Source organism: Homo sapiens, chromosome 9 (assembly GCF_000001405.40).
Source record: "Homo sapiens chromosome 9, GRCh38.p14 Primary Assembly".
In the NCBI taxonomy this organism is placed as follows: Eukaryota; Metazoa; Chordata; class Mammalia; order Primates; family Hominidae; genus Homo; species Homo sapiens.
This window is the reverse complement of record NC_000009.12, coordinates 120,881,799-120,901,714: the sequence shown is the minus strand read 5'-3', so window position 1 is coordinate 120,901,714 and position 19,916 is coordinate 120,881,799. Positions and strand designations below refer to the sequence as shown.

Genomic DNA, 19,916 nt, shown 5'->3' with positions numbered 1-19,916 from the left:
CTCCCTGGGTCTGGCCATAAGGTGCACTCCTTACTTGGTTTCTGTGACTCCTAATCCAAATGAGCCAAGGGTCCGAGGGGCTACATGCAACCCCTTCCCTCAACGGTGTGGCAAGCACCCTTTAATCCTCTTTTACAGATTAGGAAACTAAGGCCAGAAAAGCCAAGTGCTTGGCCCAAGGAGGCAGGGATGGGACTGGCATTAGAAATCAGGTATTTGCAGCTGGGTGTGGTGGCTCACACCTGTAATCCCAGCACTTTGGGAAGCCAAGGCGGGTGGATCATCTGAGGTCAGGAATTCGAGACCAGCCTGACCAACATAGTGAAACCCTGTTTCTACTAAAAATACAAAAAAAATAGCTGGGCATGGTGGCACATGCCTGTAGTCCCAGCTACTCGGGAGGCAGAGGCAGGAGAATTGCTTGAACCCGGAAGGCAGAGGTTGCAGTGAGCTGAGGTCGCACCACTGCACTCCAGCCTGGGAGACAGAGCGAGACTCTGTCTCAAACAACAAAAAAAAGAAATCAGGTATTTGCTTCCAGTTTCTTTCCTTCCTCTCCTTTCTGGGTGAAATCTTCAGCTTCGATGAGATCATATCTTCATGGAGGCAGTAGGTCCCTCTACCCCCAGCCAAAGGGCAAGCCCTGTGGTACCTACTGATGCCAGCCTGGCAGCACCCCAGGAGGGCAGGGCAAGCAGTCAGTGCCATACAAGCTTGCTCACAGAGGCCACCTCACGGGTGTCCACAGGCAATCCTCAGGCAACCCTGGGCAGTAAGGGCAACTATTATTTATGCCTTCAATTACTAATTCCTGATTGTAAGAGACACATACTCATTATAGAAAAACTAGGCCAAGCACAATGGCTCACGCTTCTAATCCCAGCACTTGGGAAGCCAAGGCAGGAGGATTGCTTGAGGCCAAGAATTTAAGACCAGCCTGGGCAACATAGCAAGATCCCGTCTCTATAGAAAAACTGAAAATTAGCTGGGCATGGTGCCATATGCCTGCACTCCCAGCTACTCAAGAGGCTGAGATAGGAGGATCCCTTGAGCCCAGGAGTTGGAGGCTGCAGTGAGCTGTGATCACATCATTGCACTTCAGCCTGGGTGACAGAGCAAGACCCTGTCCAAAAAAGGAAAATAAAAGAAAAACTAGGAAAGTACAAAAGTCATATAGAGAAGAAAGCAAAAATCACCCATGAGCCCAGTGTCCAGAGAGTACTACTGGGAACATTTTGGTTGATTTTCTTTGCATTTTTGAGAAAGTAGATACAAACACATACATGTAGATTGACTTTTAAAAATGTAATTAGAATCATATTGATTACTGTTTTGGGCTCTCCCTTTTCACTTAACATCCTGTTATCACATTCTACCATTAGCCCCTTCTTCCAGGCAAAGACACAGAAACTAAGAAAATGAAGTCAAGGCCGGGTGCGGTGGCTCACGCCTGTAATCCCAGCACTTTGGGAGGCTGAGGTGGGCAGATAACCTGAGGTCAGAAGTTCAAGACCAGCCTGGCCAACATGGCGAAACCCTGTCTCTACCAAAAATACAAAACTTAACTGGGCATGGTGGCCCATGCCTGTAACCCCAGCTACTCGGCGGGCTGAGGCAGGAGAATCACTTGAACCCAGGATGTGGAGGTTGCAGAGAGCCGAGCTTGTGCCACTGCACTTCAGCCTGGGTGACAGAGCAAGACTCTGTCTCAAAAAAAAAGAAAAGTCAGTTGCTCAAGGCCATTCCAACTCAACATTCACACTCGGGTCTTTTGATACCAACGCCAGGGCTGAAATGATCACAACTGTTTTTAGATGGAGAAACTGAGGCATGGAAGGGCAGTGTCCTGCACCAGTGTCATGCTGGGACTCACCCTGGGGGAACTGAGGAGGGGATTTGCCTTGTGGGACTGGAGGAGCTGATGGATTTAGAAGCTTGTGGGCAGGACACCGTGCTCACAGCCTGGGCTGGGGAGAGTAACACAGCCTCTGCATTCAAAAAAGCTTAGCCCCAGTGAGACAAACAGCATCTACTTTCCTCTACTGAGCTCCAGAGCAGAGGCTAACTAAGCCTCAGCTTCTACTTCTGCCATGAGAGTGAAAATTCTAACTTCACCATGTTGTCGTAAGGATGCCAATTGCAGAAGCCACTTGCTTTGTCCACTGTGGGGGTGCCAGTGTAAGAATAACAGAATCTTTTTATCTTTTTTTTTTTTTTTTGAGACGGAGTCTTGCTCTGTCGCCCAGGCTGGAGTGCAGTGGCGTGATCTCGGCTCACTGCAAGCTCTGCCTCCCAGGTTCACACCATTCTCCTGCTTCAGCCTCCCGAGTAGCTGGGACTACAGGCGCCCACCACCATGCCCTAATTTTCTGTACTTTTTAGTAAAGACAGGGTTTCACCATGTTAGCCAGGATGGTCTGGATCTCCTGACCTCATGATCCACTTGCCTCAGCTTCCCAAAGTGCTGGGATTACAGGTGTGAGCCACTGCGCCTGGCCTTTTTTTTTTTTTTCTTTGAGACTGAGTCTCGTTGTGTCGCCCAGGCTGGAGTGCAGTGGTCCAATCTTGGCTCACTGCAACCTCTGCCTCCTGGGTTCAACAGATTCTCCTGCCTCAGACTCCCAAGTATCTGGGATTACAGGCGCCTGCCACCACACCTGGCTAATTTTTGTATTTTTAGGAGAGATGGGGTTTCACCATCTTGGCCAGACTGGTCTCAAACTCCCGACCTCAGGTAATCCACCTGCCTTGGCCTCCCAAAGTGCTGGGATTACAGGCATGAGCCACCGAGCCTGGCCGGAATAAGATAATCTTAAACAATCATGGAGTGCTTAGCTAGTGCCAGACACGGCACTGCAGGCTCTACCTACATCGCTCCATGAAACTTTCATAAAAAACCCATCAGGAAGGTGTGATTATTATCATCTCTGTTTTATAGTAGAGAACACCCAGTCTTCAAGGGGTAAAAAATCACTCACCCAAGGTCACACAAGCACCAGGAGCCAGGACTTGAACCAAGATCAGTTTATGCCAGGTTCAAACCCTTAAGTCCAGTGATTTGATTCATGACTAGAAGCAGCATAATGTTGTGGGAAAAGTACAAAAACACCTATCAGCTGTGACATCCAGTTTTAGTTCTGAACAGACTGCACATTAATTTGTTTAAATAGCCATGATAAAATGATGATAGCACTCATTTGTTGAGCATACGCTTTTCTTGCAAGTATCACAATACTGATAACAGACCTCAGAGGAAAGTATTATTTTCCTGACTTTATAGATGAAAAAACAATCTCAGGGCCGGAGGCGGTGGCTCATGCCTGTAATCCCAGCACTTTGGGAGGCCAAGGCAGGAGGATCGCCTGAGGTCAGGAGTTCGAGACCAGCCTGGCCAACATGGCAAAACCCCATCTCTACTAAAAACACAAAAATTAGTTGGGTGTAGTGGCAGGTGCCTGCAGTCCCACCTACTTGGGAGGCTAAGGCAGGAGAATCGCTTGAACCCAGGAGGCGGAGATTGCAGTGAACTGAGATCGTGCCATTGCACTCCAGCCTGGGAGACAGAGCAAGACTTCGTCTCAAAACAAACAATCTTAGAGAGATTGTTTGAAACTCACACAACACGTGAAATGTGGCTGATCCAAATTGAGATGCTCTGTCTGAAATATACACCAGATTTCAAAGACTTAGTATCAGAAAGAGAATTTAATATTTCTTTTTTTTTTTTTTTTTTTTTGAGACGGGGTCTCACTCTGTTGCCCAGGCTGGAGTGCAGTGATGCGACCTCAGCTCACTGCAACCTCTGCCTTCCAGGCTCAAGTAGGTCTCCTGCCTCAGCCTCCCGAGTAGCTGGGACTACAGGGGCCCACCACCACACCCGGCTCATTTTTTGTATTTTTGCAGAGATGGGGTTTCACCACGTTGGCCAGACTGGTCTCGAAATCCTGACCTCAAGTGATCCGCCTGCCTCGGCCTGCCAAGCTGCTGGGATTACAGGTGTGAGCCACCATGCCCGGCTGAGAATTTAATATTTCATTCGTATTTTTATATTGATGACATGTTGAAATGATAAAAAAAAATTTGATAGGTTAAAGTATATTAAAATTCATTTCATCTGCTTCTTGTTTTCTTCTAATATGGCTACTAGAAAATTTAGAATTACATATGCAGGTCATGTAATATTTCCACTGGATAGCACTAGAGGACTTTTTCAGTGCCTTGGCTACAGGGAACAGGCCCCACCCACTCCATGTGACCTGAAACCAAGCTCCTTTATAGTTAGGGGCCTTGCACTGGGTAAAGGAATCATCCCCCATACACACCCACATATCTTCACACTGCAGGTGGAGAGTCCTGGTGGTGCATCCCCACCACTTCCTCCCTGACTCCCATCTGCCTCTGGGCCAGCCTGTGTCCCTGCAAGACGTGACTGTTATTTTTAGCACTTGCCGCCTCAGCACAGCTGGCTGGGGAGCTTGCTGGGCGTGGGCCAGCCCCAGGACTGCCATCTCCCTGCCAATGGGGGTCTCAGGAGAACTCGATTGTGAGGCTCTGGGGCTTCTGAGAGCCTGTGAGCAAGCTCCCAATATCCCTGGCAAGTACATATGATCGTAATCCGCATATTTGCAGATGACAAGACCAAGGCGAGGAGGTCTCTACAAGCTAGGAGGTGGCAGCGCTGGGGCTTGAAAGCAAGTCATCTAGCCTGGGCCTTCTTCCCAAAGGCCTAACACTTCACAGGGGTGGGCTGTGGGCCCTGCCCACTACACTCTGGGCAGATGCCAGGTCTCGTGCAGCCTTTCAGTGGGGGCGTGTTATACCTTATAAAGTATCCTACACAAGAGAAAGGGAAACAATCGATTTGGAAGGAGGTGGATAAGTAGATGAAACTTCATTTCAGGGTGTGCAACGCAGCATCTCCAAATGAAGTGGGTTACAGTAATTTAAAAGAACCATACAAACGGCCGGGCACGGTGGCTCACGCCTGTAATCCCAGCACTTTGGGAGGCCGAGACGGGCGGATCACGAGGTCAGGAGATCGAGACCATCCTGGCTAACACGGTGAAACCCCGTCTCTACTAAAAATACAAAAAAAATTAGCCGGGCGTGGTGGCGCGTGCCTGTAGTCCCAGCTACACGGGAGGCTGAGGCAGGAGAATGGCGTGAACCCGGGAGGCGGAGCTTGCAGTGAGTCGAGATCGCGCCACTGCACTCCAGCCTGGGCGACAGAGCGAAACTCCGTCTCAAAAAAAAAAAAAAAAAAGAAAAAAAAAAAAAGAACCATACAAACATAAAACTACACAAAAACCAACACTGTCTCATGGTTCAGAACCCAAGCTTCAGGGTTCTAATCTGTGCCTCATCTGTCCAAGCTTCGGTCTCCTCCACTACACAATTGGCATGAGAGTGGTTAGAGGATTAAATGAGATCATGGACCTAAGAGCTTAGCAGAGTGCCAGGTACGAGTGAGCCCTCAGTAAACACTAGCTAGTGTTATTATTTATCAAGGTTTTATTGTATATCAAGTACCATGCTAACTTGTTACATAATTCCTCCCCTTAAAACCTCACAACAACCTCCTGAGGCAGCTACTTTTATCCTGCCCATTTTACAGATAAAGAAACTGAGGCTCAGAGAGGTGAGGTCACTCTTCAGGGTCACATGGCTAGTGAGGAGCAGCAAAGCTTGGAGTTTTTTGGTAACAGCTTTTTAAAGATGCAATTCACACACCATACAATTTACCCACTTAAAGTGTATAATTTGGCCAGGCGCAGTGGCTCCCATCTGTAATCCCAGCACTTTGGGAGGATGAGGCAGGCAGATCACTTGAGGTCAGGAATTCAAGACCAGCCTGGCCAACGTGGTGAAACCCCATCTCTACTAAAAATACAAAAATTAGCTGGGTGTGGTGGTGCATGCCTGTAGTCCCAGCTACTCGGGAGGCTGAGGCAGGAGAATCACTTGAGCCCAGGAGGTCGAGGCTGCAGTGAGCCAAGATAGCATCACTGCTCTCCAGCCTTGGTGAGAACTTGACTCAAAAAAAAAAGTGCCATTATAGCTAATTAGATAAACGCAACATGAAAGTCACAGGCTTCTCTTTAAGGCAATCACTTGTCCTTAAATTTAAAGCTCAAAACCCTGGGAGAGGGGAGCAAAGTAGAGCTCACTGGGGGGTTCTATGCTTTGTTTTGGGGTTTTTTGTTGTTTTTGTTTTTTGTTTTCTTATTTTATCTTTTTTTTTTTTTCTTTTGAGACAGAGTTTCTCTTTGTCACCCTGGCATATTTTTTATTTTTTTGAGACGGGATCTTGCTATGTTGCGCAGGCTGGTCTCGAACTCAGGCTGAATCCATCCTCCCACCTCTCCATCCCTAAGTGCTAGGATTACTGGCATTAGCCCCCATGCCCGGGATTAAGGGGACAGTTCTATCCTTTATAAGTCTTAGTAACTCTGGGATTCCAATGAGAAAAGCCTCCAGGGAGGCCAGGGTACATTAAGGTGTCAGCAGGGTCCCCTCCCTCTGGAGTTTGGATAGAAAGAGCACTGGACGTGGAGTCCTTTAACCCGGATTCAAATCCCGACGTGCTACTTGCTACCTGTGTGACTTTGGGCAAGTCACATCACCAGCTCTGAGCCCAACTGTCATCTTGGGCAAAGCTGGAGAACAAAGTCCCTGACCAGTCGGGGATCTGGGACTGGGATTACACAAATACAAGAGAAGGTCCTCGCCCATGGCAGGCTCCCATCGATTTTTGGTGGAGCCGAGGCTGGCGGACTGTGTGCTGGGTTATTTAAGGAGTCGACTCTCTGACGCCTTCTACCAGTAAGTCGTGTATTTAGCATTCATTCATCAAAGCCTCCGGATGCCTCCTACGTGCCCTGCACTATGCTGGTCTTGGTAATCCGTGGTCCCTATCCCAGCGCCCAGGTGGGTCCGGGAGATCGACAAGAACCCGCGGGGCGGGCGCGAGGCTGGGGAGCCGCGGGCGGCCGGGTGGGCCCGCGCCGCCGCCATATGGAACGCATTGAGCGGCGCTCGCATTCCAAACGCGCGGGGCTGCCCTGGCTCGCAGGCGCCGGCTCCTGGCCCGCGCCCGGCCTTCTCTTGGCAGCCGGGGCCTGCGCGCCCTATCAGGGGCCTCCCGCCGCGGCCTTCGCGGGAGCGCGGCCAAAGCAGACGAGGCGGGTGGGAGGCGTCGTGGAAAAAGGGCTTGCCCCGCCACGGACCCGGGAGGTACCTCCGGGATGGCCAGAATCCCAAGGATTCCGTTGCTTTGTTGTATTACAGAAAAGTAATGGAAACATGTGAGTCTCCGCCGCAGACAGAGGCAAAGAGAGGTCCTAAGGTTGGCATTCAGGGCCTTAGCCTAAGTTTCAGATCAGCTTTCCCTGACCTCCATCCTGTTTCTCCTTTCTGCTGGAGCCCTTATCTTGGGTTCCATGACTGACAGAGAACAGCGCCAGGCGGTAGCTGACCCTCCAAAGGTAGTGGGTGATCAGTCTTAGGGGACGGTGGCTCAGCACCAACCACGTGCCAGGCAGGCTTCCCACGTTCATCTCGTGGCCCTTCCAGAAGCCACTGCCATGATTAGGGTCGTCCCTGTTGACAGATGAGGTGACAGGTTCCAAATGAATCCACCATTCCAGTGGTCCAAAAACCGGCCCTACATGGGATCACCCCTGGGCTTGTGAAAACTGGGAGCGCTGGGTGGGCCCCACATGGTTTGAGTCAGTAGTTCTGGAGTGAGGCTGGAGATTTTGCATTTATAAGAGCTCCCAGTCTAGGCTGATGCTCCAGGTCTGGAGCTACACTTTGAGAACCACTGCCCTATGCAACAGTGCCTCTTATGAATAAATTTTAGGCCCTTAGGGAAACCTACAACTCACCATAGACCACCTTCCATCGCAGGGATCTATATGATGTATTTTCTCCCTCGTAACAGTATTAGAGAGTTGCTTTCCTGACTGTCTGCCTGGTGTCCAACCCTCAGAGGGAGTGAGCCCCAGACACTACATTCAGTCATCTCTGAGTGCACCTCCTGTGCACTGCATGACGTGTGCTTTCTAAAGCATGCGTGCATCTGTCAAGCAAAAGGTCAAGGAACCGTTCAAAGATGAATTTGCTCACTTAAGTGATGACCAGGAGAGGGATCAGTCAGGGCTGGGAAGCTTGCAGAAAACTGCCAGAGGCTTCCAGAAAGGGAATGTACAGGGCTAGGGCTAGAGATTGGATGACGGGGGCAGACAGGACAGGGTCTTTAGCACATAAGCATGCTGAGAGGGGAGTGATGGGGCAGCCACACTCAGACAGGGAGCCACCTGCCATCACTGCTATAATCAGAGGGGCCCTGGTGTGGAGGGGAGCAGAGACCTGGGACAAGGAGCTGAGGGAATCGAGAGCTTCTGGAAGGCCTCCCCATTTTATTGACCCAGTGAATCCATGTGGTTTCTCTGTCACACTCTAGCTGGCTTGAGCAAAGGGAGAGCGTCCTCACTCATGTTGCACACATTACTGCCTTTACTAAGTCATTTAACAATGACATTCATAGATGAGGGTATTTCTGGTGTTGAAATAATCACAGCTGCCACTTATTAAGTGCCTGTTACATGCTAGGCACTTTACATCATCTTACTCAATCCTCCCAGCAACTCTGATAAGGTGGCACTGAGATTGTCCCCATTGTACAGACGAGGAAACTGAGGCTAAGAGAGGTTAGTCAGCTTGGCTAAGGTCCCAGTCGCTAGGAAATGGCAGGGCTATTGTCTTTCCATCTCTAAACTGCTGCTTTCCACTCTACCATCCTGCCCTCATTTCCTGAACACCTGCTCTGTGCAAGGCCCTGTGTGCAACCACAAAATGAATCATTCAAGTAGTCATGTATTCAATAACCCTTTTTTTCAGCACTTACTATTTTTATGGGCTTATTTATTTATAGCATGCCTTATTTCAGAAAGCACTTAACTTCTTTATTTGATATACAAGCATAAAATTTTACAGGAGTGGTCATGTGACAAGCATCAAACGAAAAACAGAAGTTGGAAAGGTCAGAAGCACCCAGGAATGACAGGTATACAAGTGTGGACCTTGAGGTCCTATATGCCATGGGGACAGGCCACAAATTGCCCTCTGACCTTTCTAGCAGCTAAAACTTGATCCCACGCAATTCAGTGTCCATAAGACACTGGCACACCATTGCTGAGGCAAATCAAAACTCTATTAGGCCCTGAGACCTGAGAGGTATTTTTTTAGAGAGTTGGCATGAAGAGAACACTGTTAAACGTGAGGAACAATGTCCCCAAACAGCCTCCCAATTGCACGTACGGCACAAGTCTCAGGGGCCGTTTCCTGTACCCGCTCCCCACCGCCTCCCCACTCCTACTCCGTGCTGGCCCAAGTCCCATAGCAGGAAAACAGCTCAAAAAAGAGAGAGCCGAGACAAGGCCAGGCAAGCACACCACCCTCTAGCTTCATCCACGTGTGGGGTTTGCCGCAAACATTGGTAATAGATGCTAAATTCAGGTCCCAGGTAAGTTTTGTTTGGTCTGAGCTGTGTACTTAAATGGCTTGAATTAGTTGTCAGCTTTAAACAAGTTTCACCTTTTTAAAAATTCAGATTTTTGGCATTCTCTTTTTAAAAAAGAGGGACTTGACAACATGGGGCCCACATTCCCAAAGGACAAGAATTTGCTAGAGCCAGTCGTTTTCCAGTCCCCGCATGGTCCCCTGGAGGCCTTTCTTTGCTTTGAACTTTCCTACCTGGCTCTGCAAGGCGTCAGGGGTTTGCAGCCTGTTTTAGGATGTTTTGAGCCCTGGCACATTTGTGTGCAGAAGGATCACCAGGAGACTTGTTTATAGCACAGGGTCCCTGGTCTGGCTCCTTGGATTTGGGGTGGGGCTCAGACAGGCATCCTTCTACCAGGTGACTGTGATGCTTCCGTCTCTCCTAACAAGCACGGAAGACTGGGTGGGGCCTGTGGGGGACTATACAGCTGCTCAATGCTACTGACTCAGATAAACAGATGACTAGTTTTCTTTCAACACAACAAATATGGCAAATATAGTGGGGTTCCGAGTTCAAGGTTATACTCCCCGAGGTGCCTGGAGTGCAGCTCCTCTAAGTGGCTGGGTGGGTCTTGAGTCGTGTGCTGTAAATTATGGTGGCGCTCCACCTGGGCTGCACCTTGAACCACCCGGGGAGCTTTTCAACCCACACTCTTCACCCCATGCCTAGGCCACATCCAGGCCAATCAAACCAGAGTCTCTGAAGATAAGAACACAGGCATCAGCATGTTAAGGTTCCCGGGGTGATCCCAAAGTACGGCAGGTGTGCGGGCTTAAGATTGAGCAAGGTTCTCTAGGCCAATACCTTCTCTAGATATTGACTGTAGCTGGACCAAGTTCCTCAGAGAGGGGAGGGGAGGGAAGGAGAGGAGAAGAAGGGGAAAGGAGGGGAGAGGAGGGGAGAGAAGGGAAGAGGGCGGGAGAGGCAGATGAGTAAATGGATCCTTACACTAACTGTGATGAGCAGAAACCCAGGCGCTCTGGGGCATGAGCAGGGATACCTAACCCAGCCCTGGGGGCTCAATCTCTCCCCACCCCTGCAGGAGAGGCTTGGGGTGAGTTTTGGGAATAAGGACCATCCAGCCACATGACGAAGGGGAAGGAAAATCCCCATCAAGGCAAAAACACAGTCCAAGGCTCTGAGGCCCAAATTCCGGGGAGAGGGGTGAAGGTTGTTTGTCGCACCTGGGTTAAAGGGTGGGGGTGGAGAGTAGGAGAAGAGGCTACACAGGTGAGAAGGTGTCAGATCACAAAGGGCCTTGTATGCCAAACTAAGAAGACTGAACTTGACCATGAAGTTAGGCAGACCCTCTGGAGAGTTTTAAAGCAAGGAGTCGTGTGGATGAACAAACCTGTGATGGGCTGGGGTTACCAAGGAGGGCTTCCTGGAGGAGGTCAGACTTGAGCTGAGGGAAGGATAGGATTTGGAGAGCTGACATTCTGATGAGCGGCTTCGGTTAAAGCTCACAAAAACCCTTCCCTCCCCCATGCCCTTTGAAATCATTTGAATCAAAGATTGCGTGTGTTAAAGACATGTTTGTCTGTTATCTGAAAGCTGTGGTTTCTCTTTAACAGATTCAGGGCCTCATCCTTTGACTCGGAACCAGGAAGGAATTAGGAGCGAGTCCTCCTGCCCAGAGAGCTAATTACTGAAATTCAGTGGCCTCACCAGGGCGAGTGGCGTCACCGGCCTGCATCCCCCAACAGCTCCTAATTTCTAACTGGTCAAAGTTAGACATTTCAGTACATTTTTATGGGCTGCCCAAAGCCAGCTGGAAGCTTTTTTTCCATAAACTCTCCCTGAGACAAGTAGCCAGGTTTCACATATTAAAATGAAAACGTCAAAAGCGTTAACAGGAAAAAAAAAAAAAAAAAAAAAAGCAGGCTCATTTGTGAGGCCTCAGCTCACAAAACCTGAATCAGGGTCCAACAGCATCTGCCTGTTTTTATTCTGCAAAGCTGAGATCAAGTTAAAAGGATGATGATAATCACTTGTTTATCTATTCACTCAGCAAACACTTATGGGACATTTACTGGGTGCCAGGTCTTGAACTGGGCACTGAGATGAGAAGCTGCCTGAGGCATGATGGTCCCATCCCACTGCCCTCCAGGGCTCAAAATACTTTATAGTTTACAAAGTGTTTTCACATGCAATTTTGTGAGCTGTGGGTGCCATTATTATCCACATTGCTTAATACATGGCAGAACCTGACCTTAGGTTGTCCAAGTCCAGATTCTAAGTCCAAGTCCAGTCCAGATCCTAGAGCCTGTCCACTCTTTCCTTCCTTCCTCTCTTTCTTTCTTGTTAGTTCTTTCTTTTTCTTTTTCTCTTTTTTCTTTCTCTTTCTTTCTTTCTTCCTTTCTTCTTTCTCTTTTCTTTCTTTCTCTCTCTCTCTCTTTCTTTTTTTCAAGACAGGGTCTTGCTCTGTCACCCAGGCCAGAGTGCAGTGGCACAATCATGGCTCACTGAAGGCAGCCTCAACCTCCCAGGCTCAATTGATCCTCCCAACTCAGCCTCCTGAGTAGCTGGGACTACAGGCGCCTGCCACCACACCAGGCTAATTTTTTAATTTTTCGTAGAGGCAGGGTTTCGCCATGTGGCCCAGGCTGGCCTTGAACTCCCAGGCTCAAAGGATCTTCCTACCTCGGCTTCCCAATTCCTGTGCTGGAATTACAGGCATGAGTCACTGCGCCCAGGCTACCTTGGTCCTTTTTTTTTTTTTTTTTTGAGATGGAGACTTGCTCTGTCGCCCAGGCCAGAGTACAATGGCATGATCTCAGCTCACTGCAACCTCCGCCTCCCAGGTTCAAGTGATTCTTCTGCCTCAGCTTCCCGAGTAGCAGGGACTACAGGCGCCTGCCACCATGCCCAGCTAATTTTTGTATTTTTAATGGAGACGAGATTTCACCATGTTGGCAAGGCTGGTCTCAAACTCCTGACCTCGTGATCCGCCCGCCTCAGCCTCCTAAAGTGCTGGGATTACAAGCGTGTGCCATCGCGCCTGGCCTCATCTGTTATTGGCCTAAGGTGGGCAATAGCTCCAAGAGGTTTAGCTGTCACTTATGATCTGTCCAGCATCCACCCCCACCTTAAAATTCTGGTTCCTTTTTGGAGGAGCTCCCCATTTTGAGGAAGGATAAAACTAGCACCCACCTCCCAAGGCCACCATCACTGTGAAATCCTAGTGGAGCTAAATCCTTCCATGGCATCTTATCCTGCCTGGCTAGTGGACAGGCACATGGAAAATGCAACACTAGCCAATCAGATAATCATTCTTGGGGCTGACTCTTGAGTGAGTGGTGAGGGGACCCTTGGAGATCACTCACCCACAGTAGAGAACCCTGGATCAGACTGTGCCTGCAGCCTTCCCTTGGCCAGAATTCCTCTCTTGGTCCTGCCCTTTGTCCAAGCCTGTTCTCCAGCCTCTTGTTCATTCTGTGTACCTTCAGTACCCTCCAGAAAGTCCCCCTTTTGCTTTGGATGGACAGAGTTGGTCCTGGTTGCTCATAATCAAGAATTCCAACTGATACAAGGCCCTTGGTCTCCATCCTGTTTACAGAGATGGCAGGAAATAGCCACCTCCCCTGGTGCTGTGGACACTGACCAAGGAGTTTCTTCCCAGGAAAACCATTTTTGGGTGCCATGAAAATATTGGCATAGCCTCTCTTGCCAAGGCCTGAGAATTATCACAGCAGATAGACCCAGTTGTCCAGGTTGCTGCCTGCATCCTGAAAGGCAGACATAAGTTCACGGCTCAGTGCTGGGTTCCACACCTCTCAGCTCTTCGAGCTGCCACCAAGCTTGTTCTCCCTGCAATTCCATTCCCATCTGGGAGCTTCTAGCCTTTTAAGGGTCATGAGTGTGAAGAAGGAGGCTGGGCCAGGCGCGGTGGCTCAAACCTGTAATCCCAGCACTTTGGGAGGCCGAGATGGGCAGATCATTTGAGGTCAGGAGTTCAAGACCAGCCTGACCAACATGGTGAAACCCCCCTCTCTACTAAAAAAATACAAAAATTATCCAGGAGTGGTGGCGCATGCCTGTAGTCCCAGCTACTTGGGAGGCTGAGGCAGGAGAATCGCTTGAACCTGGGAGGCAGAGGTTGCAGTGAGCTGAGATCGTGCGACTGCACTCCAGTCTGGGCGACAGACGTGTGGGGACTTGCAAGAGGACAAGGAATCAAGAGACGTGCACGCGTGTCATTAGGTGCTCAGGGGACGAGCTCCGTTCTCAAGGACTGTGAAGGAAGGTGGGTCGGTCAGTCCCTGGAGAAGCAGAACCAATGGGAGATACACTAGGTATGTATACAGATGCTTGTCCACTTACGATGGGGCTTCTCCAATACCGTAAGTGGAAGATGCATTTAATATACCTAACCTACCAAATATCATAGTATGATTTCTACTGAATGCATATAGCTTTTGCACCATCGTAAAGCCAAAAAATCATAAGGCATACCATCATCATTCAGGGACCATCTGTGTGTGTGTGTGTGTGTGTGTCTGTGTGTGTGTGTGTGTGTGTGTGTGTGTGTTTGTTCATAAACAGATGTATTTAAGAAATTAATTTGCATGATTGTGGGAGCTGGCAAGTCCAAAATCTATAGGGCAGGCCAGCAGGCTGGCGACTCAGCAGGAATTGATGCTTGAGTCTTCAGACAGAATCTTTTCTCCAGGAAACCTCAGTTTTTGTTTTTGTTTTTGAGATGGAGTTTCACTCTGTTGCCCAGGCTGGAGTGCAATGGCGTGATCTCGGCTCACTGCAACCTCCGCCTCCCAGGTTCAAGCGATTCTCCTGCCTCAGCCTCGCAAGTAGCTGGGATTACAGGCACGCGCCACCACGACTGGCTAATTTTGCATTTTTAGTAGAGACAGGATTTCACCATGTTGGCCAGGCTGGTCTTGAAATCCTGACCTCAGGTGATCCGCCCACCTTGGCCTCCCAAAGAGCTGGGATTATAGATGTGAGCCACCGCACCCAGCCAGAAACCTGTTTTTACTCTTAAGGCCTTCCACTGATTGGCTGTGGCCTACTCACTCTATCGAGGGTAATTTTCTTTTTTCTTTTCTTTTCTTTTCTTTTTTTTTTTTTAGACAGAGTCTGGCTCTGTCACCTAGGCTGGAGTGCAGTGGGGCGATCTCGCCTCATTGCAACCTCCATCTCCCAGGTTCAAGCAATTCTCCTGCCTCAGCCTCCCGGGTAGCTGTATAGGTGTGTGCAATCACACCCGGCTAATTTTTTTGTATTTTTAGTAGAGACAGGGTTTCACCATACTGGCCAGGCTGGTCTCGAGGGAATTTTTCTTAAAGTCAACTGATGATAAATGTTAACCACATCTCTAAGATGCCTTGACAGCGACACCTAGATTGATGTTGGATTAAATAACTAGGTATGATAGCTTAGTCATGTGGACATATAAAATTGACCATCACAGAGGGGTCAGCCCAGAGTGGTGCCTCTGCCAGAGGGCGGTGACTACAGGCTGGATGAACCAGCCGTTGGAGTGGGAAACACTCCAGCTGACATTGGGTCATCTGGCTGTGGAAGGGATCTCCATAGTCACACCAGGAGTGCATGGCTAAATGCTGTGGTTAGCCGTGAAGGATGAGTGAATAAATGACTCGTGGTTTGAGCCTATGTTTTTCTTTGCTTTCCCTGTGACCTGCACAGACCAAGCTCCTTGCTGCAGAGGTCTGTTCCTTGGAATGCTTCCCCCCACCCACTTTCTGTCTAGCTGCCTTCGCATTTCTCTATTTTGGTTCGGTGTCCATACAAACTCTACTTGCCACCACACCAGCCACATATAACTCCCCAGAGCCTCTTTCCTGCAGGCTGACTGTTCAGATTCCCTGCACACACATGCCTGGGGCCTGTCGAAGCCTCATGGGTGAGACCCAGACCCCGATGGTTAGAACCACATCTGCAATGAAGAGCTCTCAGCTCACAGGCTCCTACCCTGAGGGATGTCCCACACAGCTGGGCTCTCTCCGTGCAGCTCCAGCCCAGATGTTTCCTCTCCTCTGCAGGGGGAGGCATCTGGGACTTTGAATTGTAATCTTGGAAGAAGCAGCTATAAGACACAGATCTGAATGGTCCCAGCTAAACCTCTTGGAACTATTGCCCCAACTTAAGCCGAAGATCAGGGAGCAGAACAGACAACAGAGAAAGGCCAGACGTGAGAGTTCCTTCTGAGAGCTGTAAAAGAGTGAAGATTAGCTTTAAAGAGCCATGGAATTCTGGCAACAGAATTTCCGCTTCTCCAAGCTGAAAGAGGTCCTGAAGGTCACTTAGGTATTCCTCCACCCAGGCAGGGATTACCTCTGAAACTCATAAGAAGGTCACATGTCATGGAACACTCAAACAGAAGGATTTTAAAATAAATTTTGGCAATTAAAAAACTCAAGAGGACTGCTGGGGACCTGACAAAAGTGGCATGGCATACATCTCTGGGCAAGGGAGGGGCAGAGGCCTGGACCCACTTATGGCTCATGTGCTGATTTACTACTTCATCTTGAATGCGTCTTTCCTGCAGGACTTTGGCCAGACCTCTCCTGCTTTGTTTTTTTTTTTTTTTTTCCAAGATAGAGTCTTGCTCTGTCACCCAGGCTGGAGTGCAGTGGCATGATATCGGCTCACTGCAACCTCCGCCTCCTGGGTTCAAGCCATTCTCCTGCCTCAGCATTCCCAGTAGCTGGGATTACAGGCGCACATCACCATGCCCAGCTCATTTTTGTACTTTTAGTAGAGACGAGGTTTCACCATGTTGGCCAGGCTGGTCTCAAACTTTTGACCTCATGATCTGCCCGCCTCGGCCTCCCAAAGTGCTAGGATTACAGGCGTGAACCACTGCGCCGAACCTCTCCTGCTTTCTAGATATCCGTTTCCCCATCTGAAAATGAGAAGTTGGAAAACTTGACTTGGAAGGTTCCCTCCATTAAGACACAGGGTCTCACTCTGTTGCTCAGACTGGAGTGCAGTGATGTAATCATAGCTTACTGCATCCTCGAACTTCTGGGTTCAAGCAATCCTCCTACTTCAGCCTCCTGAGTAGTTGGCGCTGCAGGTGCATGTCACCACCCCAGCTAATTTATTTTTATTTTTAGAGATGTGGTCTTGCTATGTTGCCCAGGCTGGTCTTGAACTCCTGGCCTCAAATGATTCTCCCACCTCAACCTCCTAAGTAGTTGGGATTTACATGAGTGGCTGGTATTGGCTTTTTTTAATTTTTATTTTTATTTTTTTAGACAGAGTCTCGCTCCTAGGCCAGAGTGCAGTGGTGCTATCTGAACTCACTGCAACTTCTGCCTCCAGGGTTGAAGTGATTCTCATGCCTCGGCCTCTGGAGTAGCTGGGATCATAGGCGTGTACCACCACATCCAGCTAATTTTTTTTTTTTTTTTTGTATTTTTTGGTAGAGATCTGGTTTCACCATGTTGGCCAGGCTGGTCTCAAACTCCTGGCCTCTGGTGATCCGCCCACCTCAGCCTCCCAAAGTGCTGGCATTACAGGTGTGAGCCACCGTGCCCAGACTGGCATTAGCTTTTGAATACACCATATCACCTGGGTTCAAACCTCAGTTCCACCAATACTAGTTGAATCATACAAATGACCCTGTTGTATCCACTATCTTCTTATTTGCTCTCCTCTGGCTATATCTTGGGCAGTTGGTTATATCTTGTCTCCTTCATGAAATGCCCAGCAAGAGCCTTGGCTCCCGGGGAGCAGCTCTCATCTCATACATTTCCTCTTTCTCCTACACACCCAGCTTGGGGCCAGGAGCTCATCCACCTCACGCGGATCGACTCATGGATTGCTTGATTCCAGAAAGGATGCCTTGTAAATACTGGAGTTCATTAATAAAATGACACCTCTGTATTTTAACGTGGGGAAAACTTTAAAGGTATCTTTAATTAACTATATCTGAGTCAGTCTTTTATGATCACACTGTTTTAATCATATCAATCAAAATCTCTAATTGAATGTAGTATGTAGACCTAATTGATAAAAAACAAGAAGACAAAATATCTCGCAAATAGTCAATGCAGCTTTTGGTGGGTCAAATCTTTATATAACAACCTTTATAAAGAATGACTGGGAGCAACTCATTTGTTCTAGACTTCATATATTGACCAGTGAGTCCATCTGAAGCCCTGATTAGAGAAGTGACCCATCCTAGGTTACCGAGTGAGGGAGAAACAAAGCTTAGACTGAGTTCATAGAATCAAATAATTTTGCCATCAGAGGCAACTTAGAGGTCATTGTGGTCTGACCCTCCTTGTCCTGATCACTCCTTGTCTCGACACCCTCCCACAATTATCTATCAATCTGTCTGTCCCCCTAGCCCCACCCCCTAGCTCTGGACCAGGAGCTTCTATTTTTTTTTTTTTTTTTTTTGGAGACAGTGTCTTGTTCTGTCACCCAGGCTGCTGGAGTGCACGGTGTGATCTCAGCTCACTGCAACCTCTGCCTCCAGGCTCAAGTGATCCTCCCACCTCAGGCTCCCAAGTAGCTAGGACCACAGGTGCATGCCACCATGCCCAGCTAATTCTTTGTATTTTTGGTAGAGATGGGATTTCACCAAGTTGCCCAGGCTGGGCTCGAACTCCGGAGCTCAGGCAATTCACCCACCTCAGCCTCCCAAAGTGCTGGGATTTCAGGCATGAGCCACCGTGCCCGGCTGGACCGGGAGCTTCCTGAGATCAAAGGCTGCATCTTATTCATCTTCATGCCACGCCTGTCATTCCTAGCATGGTGCCTGCCTACAGCATGGTTCGCTACACATGTGCACTATGTTGAAAGGGTGAACAAACCACCACTTTATCTTTAACAGATGGGGAGACTAAAATTTAGACAAGGGAAGGGATCCTTGGTTCCACAGCAAGCTGGCAAGGCAGGGAAATAGGATCTCCAGTGTCTGGTGAAGGCTCCCCTTTCTTTTCTACACCCCCTGGGTTCACAGAGAAGGCAGGCAGACTTCTCTCATTTCCCCACAAAAGCCACAGGTAAAGGTGTTTATAGTTTGGCAGCTAACCAAGGCCACAGGCATGCCAACAGGTCACAGTCTGACCCTGGCAACCATTTTTTTTAAAACTGGTGTTAATAACCGTGCTTTCTACTGTAATCTGAAAACTCTCTACACCTCCATGCTGAGGACATGATAAACCAACCCCGAAATTCAGGCCATAAAACATGGGCTCGTCTAACTGGTCACCTGCATAATAATTACTTCCAAAAATTATGTAATAATAATTATTCATATTTGTGAAAAGCCTCTTGTGTGTAGAGCAGTTTCTTTCTTTTTTTTTTTTTTTTTGAGATGGAGTTTTGCTCTTGTCACCCAGGCTGGAGTGCAATGGCACAATATCGGCTCACTGCAACCTACGCCTTCTGGGCTCAAGAGATTCTCCTGCCTCAGCCTCCCAAGTAGCTGGGATTACAGGTGGCCGCCACCATGCACGACTAATTTTTGTATTTTTAGTAAAGATGGGGTTTCATCATGTTGGCCAGGCTGGTCTTGAACTCCGGACCTCAGGTGATCCGCCCACCTCAGCCTCTCAAAGTGCTGGGATTACAGGCATGAGCCACTGTGCCTGGCTGTAGAGCACTTTCATATAGGCTAACTTGTTTGGTATTCAAATAAGTATTTCTGAAAGAAAATGATGTTCTCTCAAAATAATGACTGTATATTTTAAGTAAGTGAATTTGTCATACGTGAAGTATATTTCGATAAATCTGATTTTAAAAGTAACAGTGAAAATCACAAGTTACTTTTATTTTCTTCCTCGTGCTTTTTGACATTTTCCAAATTGTCCTTAATTGAAAGAAAACATAGAATAGCACAGCAGAAGGAAGAGGATGGATCACTGGGAGGCAGGGAACCTTCTCTCAGGGCTCTCTGGCCCTTTGGTGGTCTCCCTGGACAGAGAGGTACTGAGACACTGCTGAGCAGAGGGGACAAGCCCTGACTCTCTATTGTGTGTGACACTGAGTTTATCACTACGCCTTTCCAAACCTCCATTTCATCCCCTGCAAAATGGACCTGATGCCTGCCACACCTGGCTCACCACGCTGTGACAAGCCTTAAAAGAGAAGGGTGGGCCAGGTGCAGTGGCACGCACCTGTAATCCCAACACTTTGGAAGGCCAAGGCTGGTGGATCATGAAGTCAGGAGTTCAAGACCAGCCTGACCAACATGGTGAAACCCAATCTCTACTAAAAATACAAAAATTAGCCAGGCGTGATAGCGTGCACCTGGAACCCCGGCTACCCAGGAGGCTGAGGCAGGAGAATTGCTTGAACCTGGGAGGCAGAGTTTGCAGTGAGCCGAGATCGTGCCACTGCACTCTGGCCTAGGCAA

General features: G+C 48.8%; 1 protein-coding gene across 5 annotated transcripts in view, besides 5 other annotated features; it reads left to right on the top strand.

Annotated features, from left to right (window-relative positions):
* PHF19 (PHD finger protein 19) overlaps positions 1-19,916 on the top strand; it is a 48,478-nt gene that overhangs the window by 2,414 nt on the left and 26,148 nt on the right. For 4 of the 5 annotated variants that reach the window (NM_001286840.1, XM_047423210.1, XM_011518515.3 and 1 more), the window contains exon 1: positions 6,819-6,927. The exons of the other annotated variant lie outside the window; for it this stretch is intronic. In NM_001286840.1, the coding sequence (NP_001273769.1) occupies positions 6,886-6,927 (42 nt within the window). In that variant the 5' untranslated portion in view covers positions 6,819-6,885. Of the gene's footprint in view, positions 1-6,818; positions 6,928-19,916 lie in introns of those variants that run through there. 5 annotated transcript variants of the gene reach the window in all.
* Positions 3,014-3,093: an enhancer, noted in NCBI's record as "active region_28902". NCBI's record gives its function as "activates an Ori minimal core promoter by ATAC-STARR-seq in GM12878 lymphoblastoid cells {active_cell/tissue: GM12878}" and the evidence as "EXISTENCE:reporter gene assay evidence [ECO:0000049][PMID:35858748]".
* Positions 4,063-4,771: a transcriptional cis regulatory region, noted in NCBI's record as "candidate enhancer chr9.2278 targeted for multiplex CRISPR interference". NCBI's record gives its function as "positively regulates PHF19 gene expression with high confidence in K562 cells {active_cell/tissue: K562}" and the evidence as "EXISTENCE:mutant phenotype evidence [ECO:0000015][PMID:30612741]".
* Positions 4,063-5,020: a biological region, named in NCBI's record as "CRISPRi-validated cis-regulatory element chr9.2278". NCBI's record gives its function as "regulatory_interactions: PHF19".
* Positions 4,519-5,020: an enhancer, noted in NCBI's record as "H3K4me1 hESC enhancer chr9:123658973-123659474 (GRCh37/hg19 assembly coordinates)". NCBI's record gives its function as "activates a minimal SCP1, AML or CMV promoter by ChIP-STARR-seq in naive H9 embryonic stem cells {active_cell/tissue: H9 hESC(naive)}" and the evidence as "EXISTENCE:reporter gene assay evidence [ECO:0000049][PMID:30033119]".
* Positions 8,875-9,094: an enhancer, noted in NCBI's record as "active region_28901". NCBI's record gives its function as "activates an Ori minimal core promoter by ATAC-STARR-seq in GM12878 lymphoblastoid cells {active_cell/tissue: GM12878}" and the evidence as "EXISTENCE:reporter gene assay evidence [ECO:0000049][PMID:35858748]".